General features: G+C 50.5%; 1 protein-coding gene, 1 long non-coding RNA gene and 1 other non-coding gene across 3 annotated transcripts, besides 2 other annotated features; 1 reads left to right on the top strand and 2 right to left on the bottom strand.

The window, feature by feature from the left end:
- Positions 4,387-4,990: an enhancer, noted in NCBI's record as "H3K4me1 hESC enhancer chr19:46535831-46536434 (GRCh37/hg19 assembly coordinates)". NCBI's record gives its function as "activates a minimal SCP1, AML or CMV promoter by ChIP-STARR-seq in naive H9 embryonic stem cells {active_cell/tissue: H9 hESC(naive)}" and the evidence as "EXISTENCE:reporter gene assay evidence [ECO:0000049][PMID:30033119]".
- On the bottom strand, positions 7,649-9,752 carry LOC105372421 (uncharacterized). The gene is made up of 3 exons (NR_187871.1): positions 9,520-9,752; positions 9,305-9,416; positions 7,649-8,630 (listed from the first exon to the last, which is right to left on the bottom strand). It is a non-coding gene; the product is annotated as an uncharacterized LOC105372421 (long non-coding RNA).
- A 4,757-nt stretch (positions 9,753-14,509) lies between these two features.
- Positions 14,510-18,410, top strand: PGLYRP1 (peptidoglycan recognition protein 1). Its single transcript, NM_005091.3, has 3 exons — positions 14,510-14,828; positions 17,916-18,037; positions 18,144-18,410. The coding sequence occupies exons 1-3, from the start codon at positions 14,542-14,544 to the stop codon at positions 18,323-18,325; spliced, it is 591 nt and encodes a 196-aa protein (NP_005082.1). The 5' UTR covers positions 14,510-14,541; the 3' UTR covers positions 18,326-18,410.
- Positions 15,017-15,902: an enhancer, noted in NCBI's record as "H3K27ac-H3K4me1 hESC enhancer chr19:46524919-46525804 (GRCh37/hg19 assembly coordinates)". NCBI's record gives its function as "activates a minimal SCP1, AML or CMV promoter by ChIP-STARR-seq in naive H9 embryonic stem cells {active_cell/tissue: H9 hESC(naive)}" and the evidence as "EXISTENCE:reporter gene assay evidence [ECO:0000049][PMID:30033119]".
- A 103-nt stretch (positions 18,411-18,513) lies between the features above and the next one.
- On the bottom strand, positions 18,514-18,631 carry MIR769 (microRNA 769). Its single transcript, NR_030412.1, has one exon. It is a non-coding gene; the product is annotated as a microRNA 769 (primary transcript).
- Positions 18,632-18,849: the final 218 nt, after the last annotated feature.

The raw sequence follows: 18,849 nt of genomic DNA, 5'->3' as shown, positions 1-18,849 counted from the left end.
TGAGCAGTTCCTATGCCATGAAGACCTTTGCCCTGGTCCTGCTGATGGCCCTGCTGTGCATGAAGAGAGCTCAGGGTCTGCACTGCTACAGGTGCTTGGCAGTCTCGGAAAGGAACTCCTGCCGTGTGGTCATGGGCCTCTTCCAGGAGGGGATCTGTGTCTCCCAGAAAGTAAGCACCTTTCAGGAGATGAGGTCTTGCTTTGTTGGCATTTATCTTGCTTGGTGTTCTCTGAGCTTCCTGGATCTGTGGTTTGGTGTCTGACATGAATTTGGGGAAATTCTCAGTCATTATTGTTTCAAACATTTCTTCCATTCATTTCTTTTTTTTTTTTTCCTTCTGGTATTGTTATGGAATCTTTGGGGTGTTGCTCTTTCTGGCTGGAAACCTCTGTGGCTGCTGGCACTTTTGCCTGAGTTCTTATCCTGCATCCAGGAAGAAAGGTACACAGACAAATGGAGGGTGAGCAAGACAAAGAGGAGCTTTGTTAAGTGATAGAATAGCTCAGAAGAGACCCACAGTGGGTAGCTCCTCTCTGTAGGCAGGTCATCCTGTCAAGTGTTCAGCCCTCAGCAAAGAGGAGGCCCTAGAGAGGAGAGCTCCTATCTGCAGCTGTTCATCCTGTCATCTTCCCAGCTCTCAGCAGAGAGGGTGGCTCCTCTTCTCAGCTGGTCATTCAGTCATCTCTCCATCCTCTGCCCTCCTCTGGCTGAGCCCATCGTTTTTATGGACCTCAGAAGGGAGGAAGTGCATACCAATTGGTCCATGGGTGACCACGGGCACCCAGAAAAGGAATCACAAGTCCCCGCTCCTGGCCTGTGAGTCTAGCAGCCCAGCCCCCAGCCATGAGGCCCTCCCAGGCCTGAAGGTGAGGCCTAACCAGGGACGTGGCCCTTTCCACCCAGGAATCTGTTTGCCTCCTGCTGCTGTTCATGGCCCGCTGGGCTCAGCCCTAGCTTTGCTCCAAGATTATGGTAGGCGACAACAACAGGGAGAAGCCAGGCAGCGGAAGCAGGCACTTCCAAGCCTGCAAAGGCAGGGGGGCACTTCTCAGGCTCCCAAGAGTGCAGGAATGCCTGAGGCTGCAGTTGCTGGTTTGGGCAGCTGCAGCTGCAGGGGCAGGAGGAGGCTCCCGCCTGCTCCATGGAGCAGGAGGCCTGGGTCTGCAGCCACGCTTTGGGCAGGTGCAGTGGCACCCAGGAAGGCAGGGCTCCTGCCTGCTCCTGGCCCCCCAAGAGCACAGAGGCTCAGATCTGCAGCCACAACTTGGGCAGGGCTCCTGGCTGCCCTGTGGAGCATGTAGCTCTGGCTGTGCCCCCTCACAGCCTGGGGAGGGGACTCCTGATCCTCGCTGGGCCTGGGCTGGCATCTGGGGTAGGGGCGACATTGCCACAAGCTGCCTCGTTACCCCGGCACTCAGGGATGGCCTGGGACAGAGTGGATCACGGGCCCTGGGCCAGGCCATTTGGAGTGACAGGTTTGGCAATCACTCCAATGCCCAGGTGGACACCAGGGAGGAGACCCCAGCGGCGCAGTGCAGATCCTTCTCCTGAGCCCCAGGAACCTAGCACCCTCAGCAAGGTCGGCACAGTGGCTTCGCCAGTGGCTGGGACCCTGAAGAGAGCACCACTCCCACTTCCCAGCCCGGGCCCCCAAATCATGGCCCCAGATCTGCATCAGGCCCCTTTATCCCACCATAAAAACTAGAAACAAGCTATCTGTGAAAATGCTTTGTGATGTGCCTGAAGGCACTGCTCTCCCACTGCGCTGCTCCCCACCCCGCTACAGGCGACCCAGCCCAATCCCATGGTGCCAGCCCCCAAGACTGCAGCTGTGGAAGTGCTGTCCACCTCCTTCCTGCACCCTCCCTGCAGTGGCCAGCGTGATGGCAGCGGTCACACCAGACAGCCCACTGCTGTCATCAATATTACCATTAAGTGAATGTTACAGGTTTTGTTTGTTTTTGTTTTTGTTTTTTGAGACAGAGTCTTGCTCTGTCACCCAGGCTGGAGTGCAGTGGTGCAATCTCGGCTCACTGCAACCTCTGCCTCCCAGGTTTAAGCAGTTCTCCTGCCTCAGCCTCCCGAGTATCTGGAACTACAGGCAGGTGCCACCACGCTCAGCTAACTTTTGTATTTTCAGTAGAGACGGGCTTTCACCATGTTGGCCGGCCTGTCTCGAACTCCTGACCTCAAGTGATCCACCCTCCTCAGCCTCCCAAAATGCTGGGATTACAGACATGAGCCATCATGCCCAGCCTGTTACCGGTTTTATAGTTGTCCCAGCATCCTTGGATATTCTACCTTTGTTTTTTCAGTCTCTTTGTGGGCTGTAAGGAATCCTAATTATCCCACCAGGTTAAGGTTAGAGAGTGCCAAGAATAGAGTCACAGTATCAGTGGGGACGACAAGGGGAACCTGAATTTCAAAACCCATCAGTATCAAGGCACTCTTCACCCTCTCCCCACCAGGTATCAATGAAGGCTGTCAAGAACCCGGACTTCTACCCTGACCTGGCAGTGGAGACAGCACCCCAACTTCCTTCCCCTGCTATAGTGGTGTCAAACAGAGCCAACTAAAACAAGATTTAAATTATTTCCAGAGTCTCATAACCTAAAATACAACATGTCCAGCTTTTTTTTTTTTTGAGACAGGGTCTTGCTCTATCACCCAGGCTAGAATGCAGTGATGCGATGCTGGCTCATCTCAACACACCTCCTGGGCCCAAGCAATTCTCCCACCTCAGCCTCCCAAGTAGCTGGGACTACAGGCATGCACTACCATATATATATATATATAAATATATATATATATATATTTTTTTTTTTTTTTTTGTAAAGTAGATGCATGGCTTTACCATGTTGCCCAGGCTGTTCTTGAGCTCCCGGGCTCAAGTGATCCACCCACATCAGCTTCCCAAAGTGCTGGGATTACAGGTGTGAGCCACTGTGCCCAGCCATAAATTTCTATGTCCGATTAAAGCAAGATGTCTATCAGTCTATGTGTTTGTGCACATATGAGGAAGATCCACGTTTGGAAGGTGCTATTGATGGTATAAGGCAGAACAGAGTGGTTCAGGACCAGCCATGTCAGAAAAACATATTTCAGCCGGGCACAGTGTCTCACACCTGTGATCCCAGCACTTTGGCTGAGGCGGGCGGATCACAAGGTCAGGAGTTCCAGACCAGCCTGACCAACATGGTGAAACCCCGTCTCTACTAAAAATACAAAAATTAGCCGGGTGTGGTGGCAGGCGCCTGTAATCCCAGCTACTCTGTTGGCTGAGACAGGAGAATCGCTTAAATCTGGGAGGTGGAGGTTGCAGTGAGCCGAGATTGCGCCATTGCACTCCAGTGTGGATGACAGAGTGAGACTCCATCTCAAAAAAAAAAAAAAAAAGAAAGGAAAAGTAAAAGAAAAACGAGTTTCTCTGTTTTCATAGCATGTAGGTGGGGGGTGGCAAACCCAGCAGCAGCTGTTGCTTGATTCGGGCTGCAGTGCTGAATCTGGGGGGCGAACACAGCACTGTTCTTCCTTCCCCGTGCCTCGTGAGCATGTGGCATTCTCTCCCCAGATGCTAGGGTTGCTCTCCTCGCATGGCCATAAGGTCAGCGTGTTACAATGATGGATCCGGATGGCAATGACAGCAGTGAAGGTTGTGCAAATTTGATCAGTAGCTTGATTCCAGTCAGTCTCATCAGAGAATGGGTCCTTACTGTTACAGGATCTTTGGAGTGCTGCTTTTCTGGCCAGAAACCCATGGCTGGTGGCACCTTTGCCCGAGTTTTGCTTGGACCCTCTGGGCTCGTTCTGCCCACTTGGCCTGGCAGGCTGCACTCAGCTTATACTACTGGCCTTGATCCCATGCCTCCAAGGAAGACTGCGAGGGGTGTGTGAGCAAGCATGGGGTCCAGCCACTGCGCAGTCAGACGTGCCAGTTGCTGCCACGGGGCGGGCAGCTCCCGGTGCCAGCATGGTGCCGGCTCTCTGCGAGGCTGCAGCTGGACCCGGTGCCTCACTTCAGCTTCCCTGGCTGGAGCTGGGGAATGTGGTAGCATCCAGATGCCTGGAGACACCAGGAGCTGCAGGGCCCCAAGAGGGAGTCATAGCCCTGGCTCAGGGAGCTCCCAAGTCTGGGCTCCCTGAAGGGCCACAGCTCTTGTCTCCTTCTCTTTGCCTGCAGCGTGGTAAGCAAGGGGCATGTTTCAGCCCTGTTTGTGTTACAGCTCTTTTAGCCCCGCCATTTAGTGGGTCCCAAGTTCTTGTCCTGTGACCAGGAAGAATGAGGTACATAGACAAGCGAAGGGTGAGCAAGATGAAGAGGAGCTTTACTGAGCAATAGACCAGCTCAGTCTCCTGCAGCAGGCAGCTCCTTTCTGCATGCAGATCATCCCAACAAGTGTCCAGCTCTCAACAGAGAGGGTAGCTCCTCCCTGGAGCTGGTCATCCCATCATCTGCTCCAGCTCTCAGCAGAAAGTATAGCTCCGCTCTGCAGCTGGTTGTCCCATCATCTGCCCTGTGCTGGTTGAGCCTGGGGCTTTTATGGGCCACAGAGGGGAGGAAGTGCATGCTGATTGCTCCACAGATGGCCATGAATAGGCCCCAAAAAGGCACCACAGGTTCATCCTCTGGTCCTGGGACTGGCAGCCCAGCCCCCAGCCTTCAGGCCCTCCCTGACCTCAAGGTGGGGCCTCACCAGGACCTGCCCCCTTCTGCCCAGGAGGCTGTCTGCCTCCTGCTGCCATCCATGGTGCCCAGGCTGCTTATGCCAAAGGGCACCTGCAGGCCAGTACCAAGCTGCCCTCAGCACCCCCTCAGCTTTCCTCCTATGCTCATCGGTGCCCAAAGTCTGGAGGGGGCTGTGGCAGGGGGCTGGTGTGTCAGCACTGCCCCGGGTATGTGCACACCCAGCCAGGCTGTGACAGTGCCTAGGCTCGGCCCCAACTTTGCTCTAAGATTGCAGTGGGTGCTGACAGCAGGGAGAAGCCAGGCAGCAGGAGGAGGCACTTCTAAGCCTGTGAGGGCAGGGAGTGCCTTCCCAGGCCCCTAAGAGTGCAGAGATGCCTGGGTCTGCAGCCATGGCTTGGGTGGCTGCAGCTATGCCTGGGGGGGTGGGGCTCTGGCCTCCATGCAGTGGGAGCCCCAGGTCTGCAGCCATGACTTGGGCAGCTACAGCTGTGCCCAGGAAGGTGGGGCTCCTGCCTGCTCCCAGCACCTCCAAGAGCACAGGGAGGCCACAACTTGGGCAGCCGCAGCTGCACCTGGGAGGGTGGGGTTTCTGCCTGCTCCATGGAGTGGAAGGCCTGGGTCCATAGCCATGACTTGGGTGGCTGCAGCTGCACCCGGGGAGCTCCTGCCCCACCAACTTGGAAGGGGCAGGGCTCCCACTTGTCCCCAGCTCCAACCGTCTAGTGGAGTGTACAGCCCCAACTGTGCCACCTGCCCCCCACTGCAGCCCACATGATGGCAGTGGCAGCTCCAGACGGGCCACTGCTGCCATCATTACTATGAGCATCTACATGAATAATGAATCACAGCTGCTAGTGGACTTAGAAGTTTCCATTAGCAGCTGTGATTGAATTTCCAGAGTTCACAGCCTTATAAAGAGATATCTTTAGTCTGCTGGTCTATAGTCTTCCAAGTGGCAGAACAGGTGGCTAAGACATTGTCAACAACTCCAGAGTCAGAAGACGTAACATGTCCAGCCTTTAGAAATATTGTATAAAGCAGGGGTTGGTAAACTATAACCCACAGACCAAATCTCACCTATGTGCACACACACACACACACACACACACACACACACACACACTATATGTGGCCTATTTTAAACAGCCAATGAGTTAATAATGGTTTTTACATTTATAAAACATTTTAAAGCACACATAGACACACAGACACACAGAGAGAGAAACGAATATGCAACAGAGATTATATGTGGTCCATAAAGCCTAAAATATTTACTACCTGGGGCTTATAGAAAAAGTTTGCCAATCCCTGGACTAAGGCAAGAGTAACAGTTTTCAATTCAGCCCATTTTAAACCAGTGCTTATCACCACAGTTGCTAATGGAGTGGGATGGCTGCTGTCACCTTGTGTTGGGGACCAGCCTCAACACCACCCGTAGGGTACCCAAAGTCCGGTGGCGACGAAGGAATGAGAAGAGACAGGTTAAGAGTGCATAAAGGGTGGGGTGCCAGGGGGCCAACTGCACTTTTGGAGGCTGCAAAAGGTGCCAAACTCTGGTCTCCACACTACTGAGTACAATCACTTAGATCTGAGAAGCAGATATTCAGGGGTGAAATGGTGAAAGGGGGGCGGTGTGTCATACACCTAATCTATAGCAATGGCGGTTTAGGTAAATTGTCTTTGTGCTGAAGCAGCATAAACTTAACTACTGATTTATTCTTTAACTCACTGGAGAGCAGCTGTGGGGAGTGGGCGTAACTAGGAGCCGGCATATCTGGCCACATTCCAATGCTTCAAAGGAGTGTCTTTCTCCTTGAGCACAGTGCTTGTAAATAAGAGAGCAGGTCACGCTCTGGCCATGGGAACGTGATGGCAATTAGAAGGCTTTCCTCATCAGAGGCCTCCTGTGGCTTTCCACAACTTATTGTCCCATATTTTTTACGGCCAGTTTATGCAGGCACCGCACAAGCCCTTTTCCCAACAACCTTGTCATCACCAGCACCTTTTCTTTTCTTCTTTTGTAATTACTTTTTGTGTTGAACTCTTACAGACTCACAGGAAATTGCATGGTACATACAGTCCCACGTAACATTCATCCAGTATTCCCACAGTGGGAACATCTTACATAACCATAGTATAATATCAAAACCAGGAAAGTGACATGGGTACATTACTGTTAACTAGATTACAGAGGACCTTATTCAGTATTCACCAGTTTCACATGCATTCCTGTGTGTGTGTGCACGCATGTGCATGTGTGTTTCTATGCAATCTGATCCATATAAATATTTGTATACCTACCACCACAATCAAGATAGAGACCCACAAAGGAATCCCCTTGTGTTACCACTATAGTGGCAGGCACACACACATATACATGCACATACACAAACACACTGTATCTGTCCCTTTGCAAATACCAATCTGTTCTCCATCTCTGTTGTGTTCTCATTGTAAGAATGTTATATAGGCTGGGCGCTGTGGCTCATACGTGTAATCACAGCACTTTGGGAGGCCAAGGCGGGTGGATCACCTGAGGTCAGGAGTTCAAGACCAGGTTGGCCAACATGGTGAAACCCCATCTCTACTAAAAATACAAAAATTAGCCAGGCGTGGTAGTGCACTCCTGTAATCCCAGCTACTTGGGAGGCTGAGGCAAGGAGAATTGCTTGAATCTGGGAGGCAGAGGTTGCAGTGAGAGTGAGCCAAGATTGTACCACTGCACTCCAGCCTGGGTGACACAGCAAGACTCCGTCTAAAAAAAAAAGTTATATAATTGGAATTGTACAGTATGAAATCTTTTGAGATTGACTTTTTTTCACTTAGCATAATGCCCTTGAGATTTATCCAGATTATTGCATGTATCAATAGTAGTTCTTTTTTACTTTTATTTCTTAACCCAGTAATATTCCTGTCTTAGTCCATTTTTTGTTGCTTATAACAGAATACCTGAAACTGGGTAATTTATAAAGAAACAAAATTTGTTTCTTACAGTTCTGAGGCTGAAACTGTGGGGTCCTTCTGTTGACAGCCTTCTGGCTAGTGGGGACTCTACAGGGTGTTGAGGCAGCATGGGGCATCCCATGGCGAGGGGGCTGAGGATGCTAGCTAAAGTCTCTCTTCCTCTTCTTATAAAGCCACCAGTCCTACTACCATGATAACCCATTCATCTATTAACTCATTAATTCATGAATGTATTAATTCATTTATGAAAACAGAACTCTCACGACCCAATCACTTTTTTTTTTTTTTTTTTTTTTGAGGCACAGTTTTGCTCTTGTTGCCCAGGCTGGAGTGCAATGGTTCAATCTCGGCTCATTGCAACCTCCACCTCCCGGGTTCAAGTGATTCTCCTGCCTCAGCCTCCCGAGTAGCTGGGATTACGGGCGCCCACCACCACAGCCAGCTAATTTTTTGTACTTTTAGTAGAGACAGGGTTTCATCATGTTGGCCATGCTGGTCTCGAACTCCTGACCTCGGGTGATCCACCCGCCTCGGCCTTCCAAAGAGCTGGGATTATAGGCGTGAGCCACCATGCCCAGCCCATTTTTTTAAAGGAAAGGAAAAAAGAAGAAAAATGAAATGCCCTGTGACTTTGGACATCAGCATAAAACTCAGTAACTCTGCTCTTGGTCTCTACATTATGGTTGCTATTACTGTTCGTAGGAGCCCGCTACTCCCTGGGAGAGGCAGGCCCTCAGGAAAATCACAGAACAGGATCCCTGTTCCGCTAAAGGGCTGCCCTGTGACTGACAGGTGCGGGAGAAAAAGTGCGCGAAAGAGGACAAACGGGGAGGGCGCGCCCTCTGGTGGCTGAAGGAGGGAACCGCGTAGCATCTTTTTTCCAGCGCCAAGAACAAGCTGAGGATGCGACCTGGGAGCCTGTTTCCCTGACCCGCAGCAGGCCAATCGGGTCATCCACGTGAAATATCGTATATCTGGCTTTTAAAAATAGTTATTAGATGTTTGTTAATTTGCTTCCTGTCTTCCCCACTAGAATGTGGGTACAGGAAGTCCTGGGGGTTTTGTTGTTGTTTTGTTTTGTTTTGTTTTAGACAGGGTCTGGCTCTGTTGCCCAGGCTGGAGTGCAGTAGCGCAATCTCAGCTCACTACAACCTCTGCCTCCCGGGCTCAAGCGATTCTCCTGCCTCAGCCTCCCAAGTAGCTGGGATTACAGGCGCCCGCCACCACGCCTGGCTAATTTTTGTATTTTTAGGGGAGACAGGGTTTCATCATGTTGGCCAGGCTGATCTCGAACTCCTGATCTCAAGTGATTTGCCCACCTTGGCCTTCCAAAGTGCTGGGATTACAGGTGTGAGCCACCATGCCCGGCCAAGGAGGAGTTTTTTAACTGACTTAATTGTAACAGATTAAATCAGGGCAGCTAGTGAGTCTGATATTTAAAACTTCAATTTTCTAAAACATATAGGGAATAAATCTAATTTCCCCCTATCCAAAAAAAAAAAAAGTGCACAAGTAATACAGTCTCTCAGGATTAAAGGCAACATAATAATCACTCATTGAAGTTGCAGTAAACGCTCACAAGGCATGTTTCAATTTTAGGCCAACAAGATACACAATAGGCCCAGTGCAGTGTCTCATGTCCATAATCTCACCATTTTTGGAGGCCGAGGCAGGAGGATCCCTTGAGCCCAGGAGTTCGAGTCTGCAGTGAGCTATGATGGTGCCACTGCCCTCCAGCCTGGGTGACAAAGCAAGACTCTGTCTCTAAAATGAAATTTAAAATAAAAATAAATTTAGAGAGTGAGGTGGGAGCCAGAATTTGAGGGCTGAGGAAGGAAGTCGAGGAGCCAGGCAGGCCAGGTCTTACCTCAGCTTCTTTCCTCGAGGTCACCGAGGTGCCGGGCAGAACCAGCTCACAGGGACAGGGTACACAGCTACGCACAAAACTTATGGACTATACGAGCCGCTCCATCATCCACAATGCAAAAGGCCCTGTGCCACAAGGATAGCAAGCTCACCCTGTTGGAGTCAGAGTGAGAAGCTCAGGGGCTACCCTGAACTTGACAGCTGGATCCTGGGTGTTCGGCTTGACCACCTGGTCCATGGAGATGATCTTCAACTTTATTTAAAGTGTTTGTATTGTATGTAAAAATAAGTAAGTAAATATGGCTCACACCTGTATGTAAAAATAAGTAAATATGGCTCACACCTGTATGTAAAAATAAGTAAGTAAATATGGCTCACACCTGTATGTAAAAATAAGTAAATATGGCTCACACCTGTATGTAAAAATAAGTAAGTAAATATGGCTCACACCTGTATGTAAAAATAAGTAAGTAAATATGGCTCACACCTTTAATCCCAGCATTTTGGGAGGCCGAGGCAGGCAGATCACCTGAGGTCAGGAGTTCAAGACCAGCCTGGCCAACATAGTGAAACCCCCATCTCTACTAAAAAAAAAAAAAAAAAAAATACAAAAACTAACTGAGCATGGTGGTGGGCACCTGTCATCCCAGCTACTAGGGAAGCTGAGGCAAAAGAATTGCTTGAACCCAAGAGGCGGAGGTTGTGGTGAGCCAAGATTGTGCCACTGCACTCCAGCCTGGGCAACAGAGTGAAACTGTCTCAAAAAATAAATAAGTAAATACATTTTTTTAAAGATACAGACTAAATAAAACTCTCACAATGGAAGGCTTCACTCCAGCTGGCTAATGTTTATATTCTTAGTGTCTTTAAGGGATCTGTGCCTCAAATGAAAGAACAGGCAAAAGAAAGGGAAAAAAGAAAATAAAAATTAAAAAAAGGAATGTGATGTGTAAATAGTCCTGTCTTTTTACAAAAGGCTGGCTTGGTGTTTTGTTGTCTTAAAGCTAAGGTACAAAGTTCCTGAATTCGTTCCAGGTTCCTCTATTTAAAACTTATACCTGGTGTGTCTGAAGTCCCCAAGGGAACAGGGTAGTCAAAGCATGTTCAAGGGCAGCAAGAAGGGGACAGTGGCTGCAGGAGTCAGAAAGAGGCTTTTGGGAGTAAGCAAGGTGAGGCTGGGATGGGGGCAGCCCATACTGTAGGCAGCCCATGCTGTTGGCCATGGGGAGGAGCTTGGGCCTCATTCTAGGAATCAAGAGATGCCAATGAAAAATGTGACTCATTTTTGAGGGTGACTTTAGAAAAGATCTGAGCAGAGCTTTGGCTTCACAGAGGCCAGAGTGCATCCTGGGAGGTCACTGAAGAGGCAGGGCAAAATCCAGGTGAAAGGAGGTGGTGTCTGGACCAGGGTGCAGAGAATGGAATTAGATAGAAGAGTTCTAATTCATCACAGTGGCATTCCTTGGTGGTGGGTTGCATATCCATTCAATCAAGTAGCTATTTAGTGAGCACCTACCATGTGCTGGGCATTCTTTTGGGTACTGGGTACAACAGAGGAAGGAACAGGAATTAGTCAAGGATGGTGCTCAAATGTATGGCTTTTGTAATGGGAAGATGGTGATACCATTTCCTTAGACAGGAACTCCTGTGAGAGTGCTGATGGGGAGGAGAAGGTCATGAGTCATTTTGCATTGGAGGTGCCTGTGGGACATCCAAGTGGAGGCGTCAAGTGGCCAGGTGGATACACAGATCCAGAACTCAACTGAGAGCTCCAGACTAGACATTGAAATACAGGAATCCTCTGCATTTTGACTGTGGCTGAAGCCATTATGTGGATAAGATCACTCAGCACAAAATATATGGTTTGAGGGTCCAGGAGGGAAGAATTGCTCTGAAAAAAAGAGAGAGAGAAAAAAAGACCAGCCAGAGAAGCAGAAGGAAAATCAAGGCAGTCTTACATCACAAAAGCTAAGGGAAATAAGTATTTTGAGAAGGAGGAAGTGGTCGACTGTGTCAATTGCTATCCAATTTCCCAAGATCATGTAGCTAATAAGGGGCAGAATGGAAATTTAAAACCAGGTCTACCTATATAATAAACAGAACCTGGGCAAACGGCTAGGCATCTGGAAACAAGATCAGACCCCTACCTCACACCACATGCAAGTATACATTTTAGCCGAGATAAAGATCTAAAAGTAAAACACAAAATAATCTTTTTTAAATAGAAAAAGTTTTACAATCTTAGTGTGAAAAGTCCCTCTTAAGGCAAGACAGGAAACACAGAAACCATAAAAGAAAAACCTAGATATTTTTTTAACAGATTAGAGGAAAGGGTTTACAGCACATTTGATAAGACATAGGGTTAATATCCCCCATATACAACTCAACAAGAAAATGATCAGAAGAGATGAACAGACAGTTTGAAGATGGATGCTGATAGCCATAAATATGTAAAAAGATAATCACCTCTCTAATGTTCAAGGAAATGCAAATAAAGCAATAATGAGATCTTGTTCTTTGGATTAGTAAAACATTTAAAAACTGATCATATTGTGGGAAAAATATATACTAAAATCTTTTTGGTATTGTATTTACCAATTCCTATTAAAATTTTAAGTGTAGCTCTACTTCTTAATCCAGGCACTGGATACACAGGTGGATTCACTTCGTGAACACTCATAAGCTCACTACTCTATTAAGTCTATCAACTCTATAAAAAATGTGTTTACACACTTTTTATATTACATTATTCTTTAATGCTTCTAAAAAAACTGAAATACACAAAATGTACACACCCAAGAAGTCAAAAATCCCAATTATGGGATTCTTTTGTTCATTTTGCAAATAATAACAAAAAGGCAAACAACCCAATTTTTTTTAATGGGCAATGGATATGAACAGGTAATTGACAAAAGAGCAAGCCCAAATATAGACAGCAAATACAGAAAAATACCCAGTCTCCTGAGTGGGTATAAAAATGCCAAAGGAGCTGTCACTTTATACTTATAAATTTAAGAAGTGATAACACTGGCCAGGCAAGGTGGCTCATGCCTGTAATCCCAGCACTTTGGGAGGCTGAGGTGGGTGGATCACCTGAGCTCAGGAGTTCGAGATCAGCTTGGCCAACATGGCGAAACCCCATCTCTACTACAAATACAAAAATTAGCCAGGTGTGGTGGCACATGCCTGTAATCCCAGCTACCTGGGAGGCTGAGGCAGGAGAATGGCTTGAACCCAGGAGGTGGAGGTTTACAGTGAGACAAGATCGTGCCACTGCATTCCAGCCTGAGTGACAGAGCGAGACTCTGACTCAAAAAAAAAAAAAAAAAAGTGATAACACCCACTTCTGGGGTCGGGGTGAGGAGGCTCCAAAACATTACTGGTGAAAAATATGAATTATTAATGGCTTTTTGGGGAAAATGATCTGGTAATATTAATTAAATATGTATACTCATTGACCTAATAACTCTGTGTTTATAATTTACTTATAAATGCACCAGTGCATAGGGATATATGTCTGAAAATATTTTGCGTAGTGTGGAGAAAATACTGGAAAACCTTCAAAAACTAAAAGATCCACAATGCTGAACTGATACTATAGCATATTGTGCAACTATTATAAAGAATAAATTAGAATTAGATGTACTGCCCTGGTGAGATGCCCATGAAATATTAGGTGACAAAAGGTAAATTGATGCACATGGTTTTGATTTTTTTTTTTAATGTCCTTATATAAGTTTGTAGGGAGGAGAATACGGTTTATAACTCTGCAGGCAGAAAGCCTGTAGCCAAACCCTGGCTTCATCACCTCCTGTATGTGATCATCCCCCCGGGCCTCAGTTCCGTCAACTGTAAGAGGGGTTAATAATAACATGGATCTGGCAAGCTTGTCGTTGAGTATATGATAATTTCTGAAAAGTGCTACAGATGCCTGGTGCACAATTCAGTAACAGCATGAGTACAATGTATATGAGAAGGCAGAACACAGAAGATGAAAACACACCACACAGGTCAGGCACGGTGGCTCATGCCTATAGTAATCCCAGCACTCTGGAACACTGGCAGGTGGCTCACCTGAGGTCAGGAGTTCGACACCAGCCAGGCCAACATGGCAAAACCCCGTCTCTACCAAAAATATAAAAATTAGCTGGGCGTGGTGGTGTGCACTTGTAATCCCAGCTACTCAGGAGGCTGAGGCAGGAGAATCACTTGAAGCCAGGAGGCGGAGGTTGCAGTGGCCCAAGATCGCACCATTGCACTCCAGCCTGGGTGACAAGAGCAAAACTCCATCTCAAAAAAAAAAAAAAAAAAAAAGGAAAATATTATTTATAAAATAGAAAATTAAAAAAAAAATTTTAAATACACATTTTTAAAAACCACTTGCAGGCTCTCACACACTGCATATCCAGGATTCACATGCAGGCAGCCTGGCTCTAGACGCGGGGCTCCAGTGCCTCCGGTGTCTCAGCCCGTGACTTCCCTGCTCTCAACCTCAGTTTACTCCACTGTGAAATGGACTTCCAGATACTCACCTCTTGAGTTTGCTGCAAGCGTAAATGGCATCAGGCTTGGACCTGGGGGAAGGAAGTGTTTTTAAAATGGGTAGCTTTGTTACCTCAGTCCTTGCGGGGAGAAGATGTGCCAATGCCCCGGGCCTCTGCGATGTAAGTTCCTGTTGAGTTGTTCAATGTTCCACTGAGAGGAGAGACAAGCAGGACCGGGATCCCGGCCCCGGGTCTTCCAGAAACGGCGGGGCGAAGCGCCCAGGGGCCTGTGCGTCCCTCCCTGCTGAGCGAGGGGGCCTGTCATTGCCGTGGGCGTGACCCAGACCCCAACCACAGTGCATCCCGCCCTGGCCCAGCCAGAGAAGGAAGCTGAGTCTGGGGTCTGCTGGGCCAGCAGGAAGTCCCAGCAGGGTGTGAAGCAAGACTTTCCGGGCCACTCCTGGAATCCCCCAGCAGATAAAGGCGGCCCCTCCACCGGGCGCTCCTAGCGGTCTCCCGGACCCTGCCGCCCTGCCACTATGTCCCGCCGCTCTATGCTGCTTGCCTGGGCTCTCCCCAGCCTCCTTCGACTCGGAGCGGCTCAGGAGACAGAAGACCCGGCCTGCTGCAGCCCCATAGTGCCCCGGAACGAGTGGAAGGCCCTGGCATCAGAGTGCGCCCAGCACCTGAGCCTGCCCTTACGCTATGTGGTGGTATCGCACACGGCGGGCAGCAGCTGCAACACCCCCGCCTCGTGCCAGCAGCAGGCCCGGAATGTGCAGCACTACCACATGAAGACACTGGGCTGGTGCGACGTGGGCTACAAGTGAGTGTGGCAGGGGGGCACGGGCTGGACTGGGGATCCCAGAGGCAAAGGTGTGCAAGTGCCCGCCAGCGGGACCATTTCTAGGCCTGGTGCTGAGGCCACCTGGCTGACACCCTGAGCAGCTTACTGAACCTCACAAGGTCATTTCTTCCTCGGGTCACCACGTGGGCCGGGGCAGGTGCTCACAGCACAAAGATGCGTGAGAAGGGGGGATGGGCTGAAATCCAAGCCCCGCTCCCGCTCCCGGGAAGAAGGGGCAGGCTTTGCCTAACACACACCAAGGTGTCCGCGACGCCTTATGAAGGCGCCCCTTCCTGATGCCTGGTGCCTTTGTTAGGAGGCGGAAAACCAGGCTGACTCAGTGCGGAGCTGGGTTCCAGGGTCAGCTCATCTTATTGCTGGCTGAGGCCTGGGGCGGGTCCTCCCGGCTTCAGCTTCCTCCTCGGCAAAGTCAATGGAATCGCGGCCCATCTGCTCCTTATATGAGCCAATACAGGCAAAGCACCTAGGAACTGCCTGGCACACGGGGGCCCGCAAAGCCACGGGCTATTACCATTAGGCACCTACTATGTGCCAGGCAGTGTGCCAGATGTGGCATGGAGAACGGTGCCACTCTAGCCTCCTGGGGTTGAAAGACCAGCAGGGAGAAACAAGCCAAGGCCACAGGTGAATTCAGACGGTGATAGAGGCGATGGATAAAAGGAAAGAGGTGAGGGAGGGTGACCTCAGGCTGGGACCAGACCCACACAGGCTCCTTGGAAGGGTGGGGCAAGGGAAAGCCTCCCTGAGAGTGGCTGCCTTGGCTCTGGGATGGGGGAGCAGACAGAGGCCTGCAGGTGGCAGGGGGTGCTGGGGGCAAAGCCAACGGGGTTGAGTGGGCGGGTCCTGTGGGAAGGACAGGGTGGCTGAACACAGCCGGGCGAGCGGAATGAAATGAGGAAAGGGCAGGACCAGGCAGGGCTTTGTGGACCACAGTGAGGACTGTAGCTTTTACTCCGAGATGGGAGCCATGGGAGGCTTCCCCCCGCAGAGCAGGGACCAGGGCTAGTGTAGGTACAAGAGACTCCCTCTGGCTGCTGTGGGGAGAACAGACTGTAAGGGGTGCCGGCTGAAGCAGGCTGAAGCAGGTCCGGGGCCACGCCTACCAGCTACCTCCTCCTTAGAATGGGCTGCAGTCCAGCCTGACGGTTTCCACAGGGAGGGAACTTTCAATCCTGCAGGCTCTCAGACCCAGGTAAGCATCAGAATCTCCTGCAGAGCTTATTGGAGGAACATGCAGGTCCCCAGAGACCACTTCAATAGACCCCACCCAGGGGACACATGTTCTCAGGACCTCCTAAGGCTGTGTCTCACACACACACACACACAAAACCCACCCAGAGAAGTCTAGAAGTGTCCAAAGGTATTCCCAGCCCTTCCAGTTCAAGATTTTATCAAAGACTCCAACTTCAACATTTTGTTTCCAAGACTCAGGCGCTCTGATCCTAAGTGTTCCCATGAGGTCACGAAGGCCCGAGCCTCGGGTCCACATCACCACATACAGAAGCAGCCGCTGTCTGGCCCTCAGCTTTTAGGATTCCGAATCTGGTTCTAACGTTCTGAATCCCCTTTCCATGTCACGTCACCTTCTCTCTCTGAGCCTCGTTTCTTCACCTGTAAATGGGGCTTCTGACTGTACCCGCTTGGCGATGGTGGCTGAGGTTTCAATGAGATGCATTCATGCAACAAATGACCAGGGAGAACCAACCACCCCCGACCCCAGCACCATCATGCCAGGCTCCGGGAATATGGCAGGGCCATAACCAGCCAGTCCCAGCAGCCAGCATCACCAGCAGGGCCATAACCAGCCAGTCCCAGCAGCCAGCATCACTGGGGCCAGATTCTGGGAGCTGGCTTCCTAAGCAGCAGATTCGGGACTCAAGATTCGGAAGTTCCGACATTCTGTGCGTCATTAATGACACTGTGAGCGCGGGGGCTGAGTTGGCACATACTGCAGCTCCAAGGCACTGATCTTCTAGTTCATTCCCATTTGCCAAGTCAGACACGCTCAATCAGATGTGCTGAATGAATCAGCCTTAAGGATCTGCTGCCAGGCTTGGGAACCTCAAAGAGGCAGGTGCTGGGGCTCCAGGGTCGGTATCTGGTTACGACCCCAACTTTGAGTCTGTGATCCTGTCCCCCAGTGGACCCCGAGGGCAGGAAGCAAGCTGGGGCAAAGGCAGAGTTCTGAGAGGCAGGGGGCTCTGAGTAGCTTGTACAAATTATGTCGCTTTCTGAGTCTCTGCTCTCTCTGCTTAAGATGAGGATGATAAGAGTCCCTGCCTTGGCTGGGCACGGTGACTCATGCTTGTAATCCCAGCACTTTGGGAGGCCAAAGGCGGGCAGATCACCTGAGGTCGGGAGTTCGAGACCAGCCTGGCCAACATGGTGAAACCCCATCTCTACTAATAATACAAAAATTAGCCGGGTGTGGTGGCTCATGCTTGTAATCCCAGGTACTCAGGAGGCTGAGGCACGAGAATCACTTGAACCCAGGAGGCAGAGGTTGCGGTGAGCTGAGATCACGCCACTGCACTCCAGCCTGAGCAACAAGAGTGAAACCCCGTCTTAAAAAAAAAAAAAAAAAAAAGTCTCTGCCTCAGAGGGCTGTCCTGCAAGGATTCAGTAAAACAGGACTTCCACAAATCCTCTAGGGAGGCAGGAGAGAGCAACGCACAAGATCACATGGGTGGGGACCATGGAGGCCTGGTTAAAAACCCCAGCTGTGCCCCAGACAGGCTGTGTGACCCCGGGGCAGGTGATTCTACCGCTCTGATTCTGTCTATATAAAACGGGGGTGATAGTGACTCACAGGGTTGCTGTGAGGATGGAAAAAGGTGTATGCAGAGCTGTGCTTGGCACATGGCAGGGGCCCAATAAATGACCACAGTCATTGTTACTATCGTGGGAAATTAACGGGTGAGAAGGATGCTGGGGAAGTTGTGTGCACCACGGCAGTAACGGAGGCAGGGTGAGTGGAGGAAGGAGGAGGAGTCCTCCTCGGGAAACCCTCCCTCACTCATCAAGCCCCCCCACCTCCCCATGCAGCTTCCTGATTGGAGAAGACGGGCTCGTATACGAGGGCCGTGGCTGGAACTTCACGGGTGCCCACTCAGGTCACTTATGGAACCCCATGTCCATTGGCATCAGCTTCATGGGCAACTACATGGGTGAGTGACTGTCCAGCCAGTTGGGATGGGGGCTGACACGGGGCCCTACGCTATCACTTCCCCTTCGGGGAAGCCCCTGCCTGACTCCTACCTCTGCCTCCTCCAGATCGGGTGCCCACACCCCAGGCCATCCGGGCAGCCCAGGGTCTACTGGCCTGCGGTGTGGCTCAGGGAGCCCTGAGGTCCAACTATGTGCTCAAAGGACACCGGGATGTGCAGCGTACACTCTCTCCAGGCAACCAGCTCTACCACCTCATCCAGAATTGGCCACACTACCGCTCCCCCTGAGGCCCTGCTGATCCGCACCCCATTCCTCCCCTCCCATGGCCAAAAACCCCACTGTCTCCTTCTCCAATAAAGATGTAGCTCAAAATGTGTTCCTCAGCAGGTCCCACCACACACCTCCCCTCCTTCTCTCCCTCCCACAAGACCAAAGCCCTCCCACCCCTTCCCCTCCCAGCACTCTCCTCACTGGTGCTTGGAACCCAGAGGCCCCGGCCCTGAACCAAGACCCCGGAGATCCCAGCTCGAGAGCAACATCACAGCTCAGAACCCAGAGGTCTCAGGTCAGAGCCCAGGAATCAGCACCAAGGCGGCCGGGATGTCACCAACAGTGGGTCCTGGGGGTCCTCCTGGGCAGTGAACCACGCTGCAAGACACCTCCTTCCCACCACACAGCCAAAGGCATCCTGCGCAGAAACTTTGCTTGGACTCCTTTAGGGACGGGCTGCTCACTACTCCTCCCAGGTCTGCCCTTGCACTGTTTAGAGAGTGTACAAGCTTTTCCTAGGCCTGAGTCCCAATCTGCCTCC

Source organism: Homo sapiens, chromosome 19 (assembly GCF_000001405.40).
Source record: "Homo sapiens chromosome 19, GRCh38.p14 Primary Assembly".
NCBI classification, from domain to species: Eukaryota; Metazoa; Chordata; class Mammalia; order Primates; family Hominidae; genus Homo; species Homo sapiens.
This window is presented reverse-complemented; position numbering and strand designations above follow the sequence as displayed.

Excerpts from the sequence above, each read along its gene's own strand:
- PGLYRP1 (NM_005091.3), top strand. The coding sequence starts at position 14,542 with ATGTCCCGCCGCTCTATGCTGCTTGCCTGGGCTCTCCCCAGCCTCCTT. Across the intron at positions 14,829-17,915 it reads TGGTGCGACGTGGGCTACAA|CTTCCTGATTGGAGAAGACG; the intron begins GTGAGTGTGGCA and ends CTCCCCATGCAG. Across the intron at positions 18,038-18,143 it reads CTTCATGGGCAACTACATGG|ATCGGGTGCCCACACCCCAG; the intron begins GTGAGTGACTGT and ends TGCCTCCTCCAG.